General features: G+C 50.2%; 4 annotated features.

The window, feature by feature from the left end:
* Nucleotides 4,111–4,190: an enhancer, noted in NCBI's record as "active region_13948". NCBI's record gives its function as "activates an Ori minimal core promoter by ATAC-STARR-seq in GM12878 lymphoblastoid cells {active_cell/tissue: GM12878}" and the evidence as "EXISTENCE:reporter gene assay evidence [ECO:0000049][PMID:35858748]".
* Nucleotides 8,075–8,369: a silencer, noted in NCBI's record as "tiled region #3154; HepG2 Repressive DNase matched - State 8:EnhW". NCBI's record gives its function as "represses a minimal TATA promoter and a strong SV40 promoter by Sharpr-MPRA in HepG2 cells {active_cell/tissue: HepG2}" and the evidence as "EXISTENCE:reporter gene assay evidence [ECO:0000049][PMID:27701403]".
* Nucleotides 8,077–8,266: a silencer, noted in NCBI's record as "fragment chr19:10349212-10349401 (GRCh37/hg19 assembly coordinates)". NCBI's record gives its function as "represses an EF-1alpha promoter that drives an FKBP-Casp9 reporter gene in an ReSE screen in HepG2 liver carcinoma cells {active_cell/tissue: HepG2}" and the evidence as "EXISTENCE:reporter gene assay evidence [ECO:0000049][PMID:32094911]".
* Nucleotides 10,291–10,360: an enhancer, noted in NCBI's record as "active region_13947". NCBI's record gives its function as "activates an Ori minimal core promoter by ATAC-STARR-seq in GM12878 lymphoblastoid cells {active_cell/tissue: GM12878}" and the evidence as "EXISTENCE:reporter gene assay evidence [ECO:0000049][PMID:35858748]".

Raw genomic sequence — 14,767 nt, 5'->3', positions numbered from 1 at the left:
TAATATTTATCTTCTTTTTTTTGAGACAGTGTTCCACTCTGCCACCCAGGCTGGAGTGCAATGTCGAGATCTTGGTTCACTGCAACCTCTGTCTCTGGGGCTCAAGTGATCCTCCCACCTTGGTCTTTTGAGTAGCTGGGACTACACGTGTGTGCTACCACACCTGGCTATTTAAAAATATATATATATTTGTAGACACGAGGTCTCACCACATTGCCCAGGCTAGTCTTAGACTCCTCGGCTCCAGCAGTTCTCCTGCCTTAGCCTCCCAAAGTGCTGGGATTACAGATGTTAGCCACCACATCTGGCCTAATGGTTATCTTCTTCTTCTTCTTTTTTTTTTTTTTTTGAGACAGAGTTTTGCTCTTGTTGCCCAGGCTAGAGTGCAATGGCACAGTCTCAGCTTACTGCAACCTCCATCTCCCAGGTTCAAGCGATTCTCCTGCCTTAGCCTCCCAAGTAGCTGGGATTACAGGCGCCTGCCACCACACTCGGCTAATTTTTTTGTATTTTGAATAGAGATGGGGTTTCACCATGTTGGCCAGGCTGGTCTCAAACTCCTGACCTTGTGATCTGCCCACCTCGGCCTCCCAAAGTGCTGGGATTACAGGCGTGAGCCACTGCACCTGGCTAAAAATGCTTTTTGTCTGCCTCTCCCATTAGAATGTAAACTCACCCAAGGCTGGAATTTTCCTCTATCCTATTACCTGCTGTAGCTTCAGCACTCAGCATAGTGTCTGGACCACAGTACATGCTCAATAAATGTTTCTTTAGTTCTTTTGTTTTTCTTTTTAGAGACAGAGTCTCACTCTGTCACTTAGGCTGGAGTGCAGTGGCATGATCATAGTTCACTGCAGCCTGCAACTCCCGGGCTCAAGTAATCCTCCTGCCTCAGCCTCCCGAGTAGCTGGGACCACAGGCATGCACCACCACACCCAGCTAATAAATGTTTCCTGAGTGAATTCCTTTGTTCATCCTGTTGCAGGGGTATTGCTAACAACAGAGGACTTTCTCCCTATGTCCCTGGGTCTCAAATCTCTGTCCACCTGAGGTCACTGGGCACGTAAGGTGCCCATACATGATTATTCATTCAGTAACACTGGTTTGAATCCAGGCACTGCCACTAATTGGCTGGATGGCCTTGGGCAAGTGGGAGCTGTGGCCTCCTAATCTGTAAGTGAAATACACACAAACCCTCCCCTACGGGGCTGTGTTGAGAATGAATTCTTCCTTCCACCCTCACTCCTCATCATCTGTTACCCATCCCCTAGAGGTAGGCTGTAAACATCTGAGTCAGGTCACTTCCCTCTTCTGCTTAGAACCCTCAGTGCCTTCATTTCACTTAGCACTAAAACCAAAGTCCTCATGCAACCCTCAAGTCCCCGCAGGACCTGCCCTAACCTTCCATTCTCCTGTTCCCCTTCCTCCATGGCTTTAGCCGCCCTGGCCTCCTCACCAGAACCCAGAACCCACCAATCACATTCCATTTCCCCGTTAATATCTATTTTTGTTTCTTTTATTATTTTATTCTTTTAAAAAACATGCTGAGGGCCAGGCGTGGTGGCTCACACCTGTAATCCCAGCACTTAGAGAGGCCGAGGTGGGCAGATGACTTGAGGTCAGGAGTTCGAGGCCAGCCTGGCCAACGTGGTGAAACCTTGTCTCTCTAAAAATACAAAAATTAGCCAGGTGTGGTGGCAGGCGCCTATAATCCCAGCTACTTGGGAGGCTGAGGCAGGAGAATTGTTTGAACCTGGGAGGCGGAGGTTGTAGTGAGCTGTGATTATGCCACTGCATTCCAGCCTGGGTGACAGTGAGACACTGTCTCAAATAAAACAGAACAAAACAAAACAAAACAAAACAAAACATGATGGAGTCTCACTATGCTGCCCAGGCTGGTCTCCAACTCCTGGCCTCTAGTGATTCACCACTTTAGCCTCTCAAAATTCTGGGATTACAAGCTTCAGACACCATGCCCAGCCTCCCCTGAATATCTGTATGTCTCACTCTTTCATCTCCTTTGGCTCTTTACTGAAATGCCACCTTCTTAGGTGACAATGCATCTAAACTTATCCTTCCCTTCCTACTCCAGCTTTTATTTTTTATCTTTTAGAGGCAGAGTCTCCGTCTGTCGCCCAGGCTGGAGTGCAGTGGCAGGATCATAGGTCATTGCAAGCTTTACCTCCTGGGCTCAAGCCATCCTCACACTCAGCCTCCTGAGTAGCTGGGACTACAGGCACATGCCACCACACTGGGCTGACTTGTTTTATTTTTGGTAGAGACAGAGACCCACTGTGCTGGCCAGGCTGGTCTCAAATTCCTGGCCTCAAGCTGTCCTCCAGCCTCGGCTTCCCAAAGTGCTGGAATTACAGGCATGAGCCACTGCACCTGGTCCCTACCCCAGTTTACACAGCATTCCCCAACTGGCATATTGATTATGAGTCTTTTTTTTTTTTTTTGAGACGGAGTTTCACTCTTGTTGTCCAGGCTGGAGTGCAATGGCATGATCTCTGCTCACTGCAACCTCCGCCTCCTGGGTTCAAGTGATTCTCCTACCTCAGTCTCCTGAGCAGCTGGGACTACAGACACACGCCACCACGCCCAGCTAATTTTCGTATTTTTAGTAGAGACGAGGTTTCACCATGTTGGCCAGGATGGTATCGATCTCTTGACCTCGTGATCCGCCTGCCTCAGCCTCCCAAAGTGCTGAGATTACAGGCGTGAGCCACTGCACCCTGCCTTTTTGTATTTTTAGTAGAGACACGGTTTCACCATGTTGTCCAGGCTGGTCTCAAACACCTGGCCTCAAGTGATCTGCCCGCCTTGGCCTCCCAAAGTGCTGGGATTACAAGCGTGAGCCACCGCGTCCGGCCCCCAGTTATGAGTCTTAATAAAAGGGCAGTAACGACCAGGGGACCTTCACACCAAAAGGCTCAAAGTTTGACCATTTTGAGCCAAGCCTGGGGAGAGGTCAAAGGCCAATGCAACCAGCCCTCTCCTGTGGATCAAAGGCTCAATTGCAGGTGACCTCTGTCCTTGGTAGTGTGGGACCAGCATCAACCCTGTAATCCAGAGAGGGTCTTTGCTGGCTGTGGGTATCACACCAATTTAGGGGGCACATATCAGATGCGGGAAGGCCCCTCAACATCTGGCCTCAGCTTTTCCTCCATTACTGAACAAGGGTTCTCACAAAGGCCAGGGGTCAGGCCTGCAATACTGGGGGGCAGCCCCCCAAAAAGAAGGTACAGAGCATGAGGTCGGTGGCTAAAGTGATCCGCCCAACTCAGCCTCCCAAAATGTAGGGATTACAGGCTTGAGCCACCTCACCCAGTCAATTTTCTTCATCTTTAAAATGGGATTGGCTGGGTGTAATGGCTCACGCCTGTAATCAGCACTTTGGGAAGCCGAGGAGGGTGGATCATTTAAGGTCAGGAGTTTGAGACCAACCTGACCAACATGATGAAACCCCGTCTCTACTAAAAATACAAAAATTAGCCCGGCATGGTGGCGGGCGCCTGTAATTCCAGCTACTCAGGAGGCTGAGTGACGAGAATTGCTTGAGCCCGGGAGGCAGAGGTTGCAGTGAGCCAAGATTGCGCCACTGCACTTCAGCCTGGGTGACAGAGCAAGACTCCATCTCAAAAAAAAAAAAAAAAAAAGTACAGGGCATGGATGGATGACACAGATCTGTTGGTGGGGGGTGAGGGGTGGTCTCCTATACTAGGGAGAGCTGCCTAAAGCGCCCCTCCCCCATCAACTGTCCAAACATCTGCTGTTTGTTTGTTTTCAGCTCAGCTTGTGTGTAACTGCCAAGCTCCGTGAGGGGGCAAAGCCTCCCACGGAGGGCCTCCCCGCAGTGGGGCTGATTTGCATGGATATTTTCATTCCCTACAGTTCCCTGAGCAACCAGGACAGGCGTGAAGGGTAGAAAAAAAGCCACAGAACTAGCCCTCCAGGCAGGTGTTGGCGAGAACCAGAGAGTCCAACCTCCTTGAGGGCCTGAGACCCTGGGCATGTCACATTGGCTCTCCAGGCCTCAGTTTCCTCCTCTGTAAAATGGGGGTATAGTTGCCCCTACCCACATGGTTCTTGCAGGGCTTAAGCCTGCGAGCCCTGGCATCATCTAGTCCCTGTGCTGTTCTCCCTGCATGGCTCGGGGCTGACCTCTGCACGGGACATCTCCCCTGCCAACTGGCTTCTGGCCACATTTAGCCAATGGGAGGCACTGGGGGCAGATTTTCCGAGAGGAAGGTAGGAGAAGCCAAGATATTTCTTTTCTCTTCTTTTCTTTTTTGAGACGGAGTTTCGCTCTTGTCGCCCAGGCTGGAGTGCAATGGCACGATCTCAGCTCACTGCAACCTCCACCTCCTGGGTTCAAGTGATTCTCCCGCCTCAGCCTCCCAAGTAGCTGGGATTACAGGCACGCACCACCATGCCCGGCTAATTTGGTATTTTTAGTAGAGACGGGGTTTCACCATGTTGGTCAGACTGGTCTTGAACTCCTGACCTCAGGTGATTCACCTGCCTCAGCCGCCCAAAGTGCTGGGATTACAAGCGTGAGTCACCGCACCCGGCCTCTTTTTGCTTTTTTTCTAGGGATAGGGTCTTACTCTGTCACCCAGGCTGTAGTGCAGTGGCACAATCATAGCTCACTGCAGCCTCGACCTCCTGGGCTGACGTGATCCTTCTGCCTCAACCTCCTGAGTAGCTGGAACCACAGGTGCGTGCAACCATACATGGATTTTTTTTTTAAAGATTTTTAAAATAGAGATGGGGGTCTCCTATATTACCCAGGCTGGTCTCAAACCCCTGGCTTCAAGTGATCCTCCCACCTTGGCCTCTCAAAGTGCTGGGATTACAGTCATGAACCACTGCACCCAGCCCAAGATATTTCTCCCCATATGCCTCTGGTAGCACCTCCCATTAGATATCATCTTCCTATATGGTAATTTCTATTTAAATTTTTTACATGGTCTGCCATATCCTTTATTTTTATTATATTTTTTAAGAGATGAGGTTTGGCTATGTTGCCCAGGCCGGAGTCCAACTCCTGGGCTCAAGTGATCCTCCTGCCTCAGCCTCCCGAGTGGCTGGGACTACAGGCCTACACCACCATGCTTGGTTTATGCTAATTTTTTTTTTTTTTTTTGAGATGGAGTTTCGCTCTTATTGCCCAGGCTAGAGTGCAATGGTGCGATCTCGGCTCACCGCAGCCTCCGCCTCCTGGGTTCAAGCGATTCTCCTGCCTCAGCCTCCCTAGTAGCTGGGATCACAGGCATGTGCCAGCATGCCCGGCTACTTTTTTTTTTTTTTTTTTTTTGAGACGGAGTCTCACTCTGTCGCCCAGGCTGGAGTGCAGTGGTGTGATCTCGGCTCACTGCAAGCTCCGCCTCCCGGGTTCACGCCATTCTCCTGCCTCAGCCTTCCGAGTAGCTGGGACTACAGGTGCCTGCCACCACGCCCGGCTAATTCTTTGTATTTTTAGTAGTGACGGGTTTCACCGTGTTAGCCAGGATGGTCTCGATCTCCTGACCTCATGATCCACCTGCCTTGGCCTCCCAGAGTGCTGGGATTACAGGCATGAGCCACTGCGCCCAGCCACATCAGGCTAATTTTGTATTTTTAGTAGAGACACGGTTTCTCCATGTTGGTCAGCCTGGTCTCGAATTCCCGACCTCAGGTGATCCGCCCGCCTCGGCCTTCCAAAGTGCTGGGATTACAGGCATGAGCCACTGTGCCCGGCCTATGCTAATTTTAAAATAATCTCTCCATCCATTTTGTTTTGTTTTGTTTTGTTTTAGACAAAGTCTTACTCTTTCACCCAGGCTGGAGTGCAGTGGTGCAATCTCCGCTCACTGCAACCTCCGCCTCCCGGGTTCAAGCGATTCTCCTGCCTCAGCCTCCCAAGTAGCTGGGATTACAGGCTCCTGCCACTATGCCCAGCTAATTTTTTGTATTTTTAGTAGAGACCGGGTTTCACCATGTTGGCCAGGCTGGTCTCGAACTCCTGACCTCGTGATTTGTCCACCTTAGCCTCCCAAAGTGCTGGGATTACAGGCATGAGACACCGCGCCTGGCCATCGTTTGATTTTTTATCTACGTATTAAATTGACCCATATATTAAATCCCCTCTATTGGAGATACTTCTGTTTTCCTGATTAGACCCTCACTGATGTAAAGCTACTGTCCGGAGGCCAGGCAGAGTGGTTCACTCTTGTAATCTCAGTGCCCTTGGGAGACCAAGGTGGGAGGATCGCTTGAGCCCAGGAGTTCAGGTCCAGCCTGGGCAACATAGTGAGACCAACCTAACCCTCTACAAAAAATGTAAAAGTTAGCTGGGCTTGGTGTCTTGGGCCTGTAGTCCCAGCTACTGGGTAGGCTGAAGTAGGCAGATTGCTTGAACTCACCAGCTTGAGACTACAGTGAGCTATGATTGCGCCACTGCACTCCAGCCTGGGTGACAGAGCAAGACCTTATCTCTAAAAAGATAAAAACTAGGCCGGGCACGGTGGCTCACGCCTGTTATCCCAGCACTTTGGGAGGCCGAGGCGGGTGGATCACGAGGTCAGGAGATCAAGACCATCCTGGCTAACACGGTGAAACCCCGTCTCTACTAAAAATACAAAAAATTAGCCCGGCGTACTGGCGGGTGCCTGTAGTCCCAGCTACTCGGGAGGCTGAGGTAGGAGAATGGCGTGAACCTGGGAGGCGGAGCTTGCAGTGAGCCAAGATTGCGCCACTGCACTCCAGCCTGGGCGACAGAGCCAGATTCCGTCTCGAAAAAAAAAAAAAAAAAGATAAAAAATAAAAATAAATAAATCGCTTCTCGGCCTTTTGGCTAAGATCAAGAAAACAAATAAACAAACACACAAATAATAAGGCTGCTGTGAGAATTTTTTAAACAAAAGTATTGCTTTTTTTGCACAATTTAGATACAATAAAAATCTTCCTGGCCGGGCGTGGTGGCTCACGCCTGTAATCCCAGCACTTTAGGAGGCCGAGGCGGGTGAATCACAAGGTCAGGAGTTCGAGACCAGCCTGGCCAAGATGGTAACACCCCATCTCTACTAAAAATACAAAAATTAGCCAGGCGTGGTGGTGGACACCTGTAAGGTGAGGCAGGAGAATCGCTTGAACCCAGGAGGCAGAGGTTGCAGTGGATCGCGCCACTGCATACTAGCCTGGGCGACAGAGCAAGACTCTGTCTCAAAAGAAAGAAAATCTTCCCTTTTTTGCATACAGTTGTTCACATTTCAAGAAACATATATAGTCACGTAACCAAAACCACAATCAAGATGCAGAATGGTTCCATCGCCAAAAAAAAAAAAATTCCCCCCATGCCCCCCAACTTTTTTTTTTTTTTTAAGACATTGGTCTTACTCTGTTGCTCAGGCTGGAGTGCAGTGGTGCGATCATAGGTGACAGTGGTGTCAAACTGCTGGGCTCAGGCAATCCTCCTGCCTCAGCCTCCGGAATAGCTAGTACAGGCACGTGCCACTGTACCTGACTCATTTTTTTTTTTTTTTTTTTGTAGAGACTGGGTCTCGCTCTGTCGCTCAGGATGGTGTCGAACTCCTGGGTTCCAGCAATTCTCTCACCTCAGCCTCTGAAAGTGCTGGGATTACAGGGGTGAGCCACTGTACCCGGTCCCACCGTGCCCTTTTGCAGTCAACCTCTCCTGTCCCAATATTTCACCGTCCCTATAGTTTTTTTTCTCCTAGAACATTATAGAAATAGAGTCATACAATATGCAACCTTTGCGTTGAACTTCTTTCCCTCATCCTAATACATTTGAGAGTTCTCCATGTGGCTAGGTATCACCAATTCCTTCTTTTTGATTTTTTTTTTTTTTGAGATGGAGTTTCATTTGTTCTTGTCACCTAGTCTGGAGTGCAATGGTGCAATCTCGGCTCACTGCAACCTCCACCTCCTGGGTTCAAGCAATTCTCCTGCCTCAGCCTCCTGAGTAGCTGGGATTACAGGTGCGTACCACCAAACTCAGCTAATTTTTTCGTTTTTAGTAGAGATGGGGTTTCGCCATGTTGTCCAGGCTAGTCTCGAACTCCTGACCTCAGGCGATCCGCCCGCCTCAGCCTCCCAAAGTGCTGAGATTACAGGCATGGTCTTCCATTGTGAGGATGGACTGCAGTTTATCTCTCCTTTCTCTAGCTGAGGGAGCTGCTGTGAGCTATTGAGAGTGAGTCAATATTTGTAAAACACTTAGGGCAGTAACTGGCACGTTATACACATGTCAGCTGTCATGAGCATGCTGGGGTGGGAGGGGCTTGCTGAGAAGTTAGCCTTTTTGAGGTTCCCCTTTCCCCTAATTGTTCATCCTGCTTTTGGCGGGAAGAGAGCCCACCCCTTCCCCAGCTCGAAGGGCCAAGACTGCTTCTGGTGCAGATGTGGCAGAGGCTGGCCTCCAGTGGGAGCCTCCCCACCCCGTCACTGAAGCTGAAAGTGGGCCCTGAGCCCATGGAGGAGATGAGGCTGCCGCAGTTCCCTGATGCCTGCCAAGATCAGCATCTGGGAAGCTTCTCTGTAGCCTGGGGCCCCTTCCCCCAGCGCTGGGGCGATGATGAGAAAGTTGGGATCCATCTCAGACACTTCCCAGGCAGTTCCTCCTGCCAGAGACGAGAGCCAGGGGGGTGGGGGGACAGTGGAGGCCCAGGGAGGATGGAGAACAGGCCTGCGTCTCATGGATTTCAGGGCCATGGTGGGCAACCACAGGATCTGGTGTGAAGGGCCTGGGCCTCCTGGATTTGGGGGAGTTCACAATATCCGGGGTGAAGGTAGGAATGGGGGTCAGAGGGCGTCCCTTCTCCTGGATTATGGAGAACATTCCACATCTCACTGTTGACCAATGTAGTCCTGGCTGGTAACCACTGCCTGTCTGTTCCTACCTGCTGGGGCAGAGATGGGGGTGGTGGCACAGGAATGGGGTGGAGACTCCGAATGAATAAGAAGACAGACAGCCAGGGCTGCTGGATTGAGAGGAGCCGGATGGCTCTAGTTCGAATCTCACCTCTCCTGTATGCCTCAATTTTCCTCCTTCTTTTTTTTTTTTTTTTTTTTTTTGAGATAGAGTCTCGCTCTGTCACCTAGGCTGGAGTGCAATGGCATGATCTTGGCTCACTGCAACCTCCGCCTCCCGGGTGCAAGCAATTCTTGTGCCTCAGCCTCTCGAGTAGCTGGGGTTACAGGTGCGCATCACCATACCTGGCTAATTTTTATCTTTTTAGTAGAGATGGGGTTTCGCCATGTCGGCCAGACTGGTCTCTAACTCCTGATCTCAGGTGATCCGCCTACCTTGATCTCCCAAAGTGCTGGGATTACAGGCGTGAGCCACCGCGCCTGGTCAATTTTCCTCTTCTTTAAAATGGGATTGGCCGGGCACAGTGGCTCACACCTGTAAGAGTGTGAGCCACTTTGGGAGGCCAAGACCAAGGTACATGGAATGGATTACTTCAGGTCAGGAGTTTGAGATCAGCCTGGCCAACATGGTGAAGCCCTGTCTCCACTAAAAATATAAAGATTAGCCAGGCATGGTGGCGCGGGCCTATAATCCCAGCTACTTGGGAGGCTGAGGCAGGAGAATCGCTTGAACCCAGGAGGCGGAGGTTGCAGTGAGCCAAGATCATGCCACTGCCACTCCAGCCTGGGAGACAGAACGAGACTCCATCTCAAAAAAAAAAAAAAAAAAAAAAGGCCAGGCACGGTGGCTCACGCCTGTAATCCCAGCACTTTGGGAGGCCGAGGTGGGCAGATCAGCTTAGGTCAGGAGTTCTAGACCAGCCTGGCTAACACAGTGAAACCCCGTTTCTACTAAAAATACAAAAAATTACCCAGGTGTGGTGGCGGGCGCCTGTAATCCCAGCTACTCGGGAGGCTGAGGCAGGGGAATCCCTTGAACCTGGAAGGCGGAGGTTGCAGTGAGCTGAGATCGCGCCACTGCCCTCCAGCCTGAGTGACAGAGCGAGACTCCATCTCAAAAAAAAAAAAAAAAAAGATGATGATTATCATAATACCCACTTCCTCGGGTTGTGAGGACTCACAGCGCCACATCTAGCACACAGTCGGTGGCTGTGAGTGTTAGCCATTATTGTCACTGACCCTATAATTAGTGGAAGCTAGTTCAAGCCTCTTCCTTCTCCTCTATTTCCCCTGCTGGGAGTTCTCCAAGAAAAGGGCCCTGTTTCCTTCCTCCTCCACTGTTCTCTCACTCAGCCCCCCGCCCCCCGCCACCGGGGTAGGCCAAGCTCTCCTCCTGACCCCCACCAAGACCATCAGGAAGTCCAGGCCTCCAGCGTTTTCCAGTCCTCTGTAGCGCTCCCTTGGCTGACCTGGCGAAGACATTGTGTTGCCTCAGAAGTGGGAGGGAGGCGGAAGTTGCATGTCGGTGTGTCTGTGTGTCCCCGGGGACATCACCTTTGTCTGGGAGCCACGGTTCCCCTGGCAGACGGCCACATATGTCTGCAGCCTTGACATCACCCCTCTGCCCCAACCCCCCAGGTCCCAGGAGAGACTGCAAATTGCTGAGCCAGCCCAGGCATATGAGGGCGGTCACTTCCTCCCCAGCCTTCAGGTCCCCACACAAGACTGAGATTTCCGCTCTGATAGCTCTCAGACGAGGAGAAAACCTAATTTTCTTCGTGCTTCCTCCTCTGCGGATTAAACACCTGGTTTCTAGAGTGTCCAGGCAACACTTCTCACTTGGTAGAAGAGGCAGTGAGGTTTTGCCAAGGTCCAAGTGCGCCCCAAGATCTGGCCCAGAACCCAGCAGACCCTGAAATCGAGCTCAGGAAAAGGGGCAAAGTGTAGAATTGACTAGTCACTTTCTGACTTTCTTTGTATCCCCCCTTCAAAGCCCCATCACCCTGTGTTAGAATTGTCTGGTTTCGGCCGGGCACGGTGGCTCACGCCTATAATCCCAGCACTTTGGGAGGCTGAGGCAGGTGGATCGCCTGAAGTCAGGAGTTCAAGACCAGCCTGGCCAACATGGTGAAACCCCATCTCTACTGAAAATACAAAAATTAGCCGGGTGTGGTGGTGTGCGCCTGTAATCCCAGATACTTGGGAGGCTGAGGCAGGAGAATTGCTTGAACCTGGGAGGTGGAGGTTGCAGCGAGCCGAGATCTTGCCAGTGCACTCCAGCCTTGGCGACAGAGCGAGACTCTGTCTCAAAATAAATAAATAAATAAATAAATAAATAAAAATAATTGTCTGGTTTCTTCTCTGTCTCCTCCATCAGACTGTCAGCTTTGGATGGCAGCAACCAATTAGGCATCACCAGGCTTAGCACAGAGCATTACATGTTGTGTTACATACACACATATATTGCATGCCTATATGTAGCATTAACGTGTTGATTTTTTTTTTTTTTTTGAGATGGGCTCTTACTATATTGCCTGGGCTGGTCTCAGATTCCTGGCCTCAAGCAATCCTCCCGCCTCTGCCTCCCAAAGTGCTAGGATTACAGTTGTGAGTTATCGTGCTTGGCCTGTTGATTTTTTTTTTTTCCAGACAGTGTCTTGCTCTGTCAACTAGGCTGGAGTGCAGCAGTGTGATTTCAGCTAACTTCAACCTCCACCTCTCAGGCTCAAGTGATCCTCCCACCCCAGCCTCATGAGTAGCTGGAACTACAGGCACACACAACCATGCTTGGCTAATGTTTAATTTTTTGTTTTTTCTTTTGTAGAGACGAAGTCTCACTATATTGCGCAGGCTGATCTCAAGCTCCTGGGCACAACTGGTCTTCCCACCTTGGCCTCTCAAAGTGCTGGGATTACAGACATGAGCCACTATCCATGACCAATTTTTTAAAATTTTTAATATATTTTTTGAGATGGAGTTTCACTCTGTCGCCTAGGCTGGAGTGCAGTGGCACGATCTTGGCTCACTGCAACCTCCACCTCCCGGGTTCAAGCAGTTCTCCTGCCCCAGCCTCCAGAGTGGCTGTGACTACAGGCACCTGCTACCACGCCTGGCTAGTTTTTTGTGTTTTTTTTTGTTTGTTTTTTTGTTTTTTTGAGATGCAGTCTCACTCTGTTGCCCAGGCTGGAATGCAGTGGCGGGATCTCGGCTCAGTGCAACCTCCGCCTCCTGGGTTCAAGTGATTCTACTGCCTCAGCCTCCCAAGTAGTTGGGACTACAGGTGTGCACCACTGTGCCCAGCTAATTTTTGTATTTTTAATAGACACCGGGTTTCACCATGTTGGCCAGACTGGTCTTGAACTCCTGACCTCGTGATCTGCCTGCCTCAGCCTCCCAATAATTTTGGTATTTTTAATAGAGATGGGGTTTCACCATATTGGTCAGGCTAGTCTCGAACTGCTGAATTCAGGTGATCCCCTTGCCTCGACCTCTTTGTACATTTTTTTGAATTGGTAATAGAAGCTAAAGATTTCAAACAGCAGGCTGGGCGCAGTGGCTTATGCCTGTAATCCCAGCACTTTGGGAGGCTGAGGCAGGCGGATCACCTGAGGTCAGGAATTCGAGACCAGCCTGGCCAATATGGAGATACCTCGTCTCAAAAAAAAAAAAAAAAAAAAAAAAAAGATTTCAAACAGCCCTCCAGGGTATACCATGAAAAGCTGTTTCTTCTTACCTCGTTTCCCTGCCCCCTGGTTCCTCTCCCTAAGAGTAACTGTTGTGACTAGGGTCTGGTGCCTTCTCCCAGAGACAGACTGTGTGTCACAGGCAAATGTGTGTGTATTTATATAGTTCTTATAAATACACCCAGAAATGCAATGCATACTGGTCTACACTGTACTTTTTCAACTTAATATGTTGAAGACCATTTCCCATCAGTACACACAAGACTACTCCATTTATTTATTTAGTTTTATTTATTTATTTATTTAAAATGGAGTATTGCTGTGTCACCCAGGCTGGAGTGCAATGGCATGATCTCGGCTCACTGGAACCTCTACCTCCAGGGTTCAAGCAATTCTCCTGCCTTAGCCTCCCGAGTAGCTGGGACTCCAGGCACACACTACCATTCCCGGCTAATTTTTGTACTTTTAGTACAGATGGGGTTCGCCATGTTGGCCAGCCTGGTCTTGAACTCCTGACCTCAGGTGATCCACCTGCCTTTGCCTCCCAAAGTGCTGGGGTTACAGGTGTGAGCCATTGCACCCAGCCTCTTTATTTTTATTTTATTTTTTGAGACGGAGTCTTGCTCTGTTGCCCAGGCTGAAGTCCAATAGCACCATGTTGGCTCACTGCAACGCCCGCCTCCCCGGGTTCAAGCGATTCTCCTAACTCAGCCTCCCGAGTAGCTGGGATTACAGGCGCCCGCCACCACGCCCGGCTAATTTTTTGTATTTTTAGTAAAGAAAGGGTTTTGCCATATTGGCCAGACTGGTCTCGAACTCCTGACCTCAAGTGATCCACCCACCTTGGAGTCCTAGAGTGCTGGGATTACAGGCGTGAGCCACCATGCCCAGCCAATTTTTATATTTTTTGTAGAGATGGAGTTACACCATGTTGCCCAGGCTAATCTAGAACTCCTAGGGTCAAGCAATCCACCCACCTTGGCTTCCCAAACTGTTGGGATTACAGTCGTGAGCCACCGTGCCTGGCCAGATTATGTTTATAACATATAATGTCTACATTTTCACAAATGGTACCCTCATAAAAAGCCATATTTCCCACCTGAACATAAGATCCACTGGGTTGGCCAGGCACGGTTGTTCATGCCTGTAATCCCAGCACTTTGGGAGGCCAAGGCGGGCAGATCATGAGGTCAGGAGATCGAAACCATCCTGGCCAACATGGTGAAACCTCCATCTCTACTAAAACTACAAAAATTAGCTGGGCATGGTGGCGCATGCCTGTAATCCCAGCTACTCAGGAGGCTGAGGCAGAAGAATCGCTTGAACCCGGGAGGCAGAGGTTGCAGTGAGCCGAGATAGTGCCACTACATTCCAGCCTGGCGACAGAGCTAGACTCTGTCTCAAAAAAAAAAAAAAATCCATCTGGTCAAGGAGTTTTTCCTTTTTGTTGCTGTTGTTGTTGTTCACTGCTGTGCCCAGTAGGTGCATAAAAAATATTTGTTGCCAGGTGCTGTGGTTTACATTTGTAATCCCAGCACTTGGGGAGGCCGAGGCAGGCGGATCACTTGAGGTCACGAGTTCGAGACCAGCCTGGCCAACATGGTGAAACCCTGTCTTTACTAAAAATACAAAAAAATCAGCCAGGCGTGGTGGCACGCGCCTGTATTTCCAGCTACTTGTGAAGCTGAGGCACAGGAATAGCTTGAACCTGGGAGGCAGAGGTTGCAGTGAGCTGAGATGGCACCACTGCACCCCAGCCTGGGAGATAAAGGAAGACTCTGTCTCAAACAAAAAAATTTTGTTGCTGGAATGAGGGGCTTTCCTATCCTGTTGTCGAACTGCTGGTTACACACACACACACACACACACACACACACACACACACACACATCATTCGATGAAGGTGTAGTGTCCATCATTTCCGCAGGCAGGCACACAGAAATGCCCAGGAATTAGTGAAAATTGGAAATCTGGATAGAAGACTGGGCCCGACGCTGGAAGGCAGGCACAAACTGGGCCCCGCCAGAGGGGACAGTGATCTACAGAGGCAGGAAAGAGTGTGGAGTGTCCCCAGTCCCCCAAGGGAAACAGGGCAGCACCTGAATTCTGGAGGTCCTATCAAGGGAGAGACTGGTCAGGCACAGTGGCTCACGCCTGTCATTCCAGCACTTTGGGAGGCTGAGGCAGTAGGATTGCTTGAATGCAGCAGT

Source organism: Homo sapiens, chromosome 19, assembly GCF_000001405.40.
Source record: "Homo sapiens chromosome 19, GRCh38.p14 Primary Assembly".
Taxonomy (NCBI): domain Eukaryota; kingdom Metazoa; phylum Chordata; class Mammalia; order Primates; family Hominidae; genus Homo; species Homo sapiens.
Note: the sequence above shows the minus strand (reverse complement) of the source record. Positions and strands in the feature narration are given on the sequence as shown.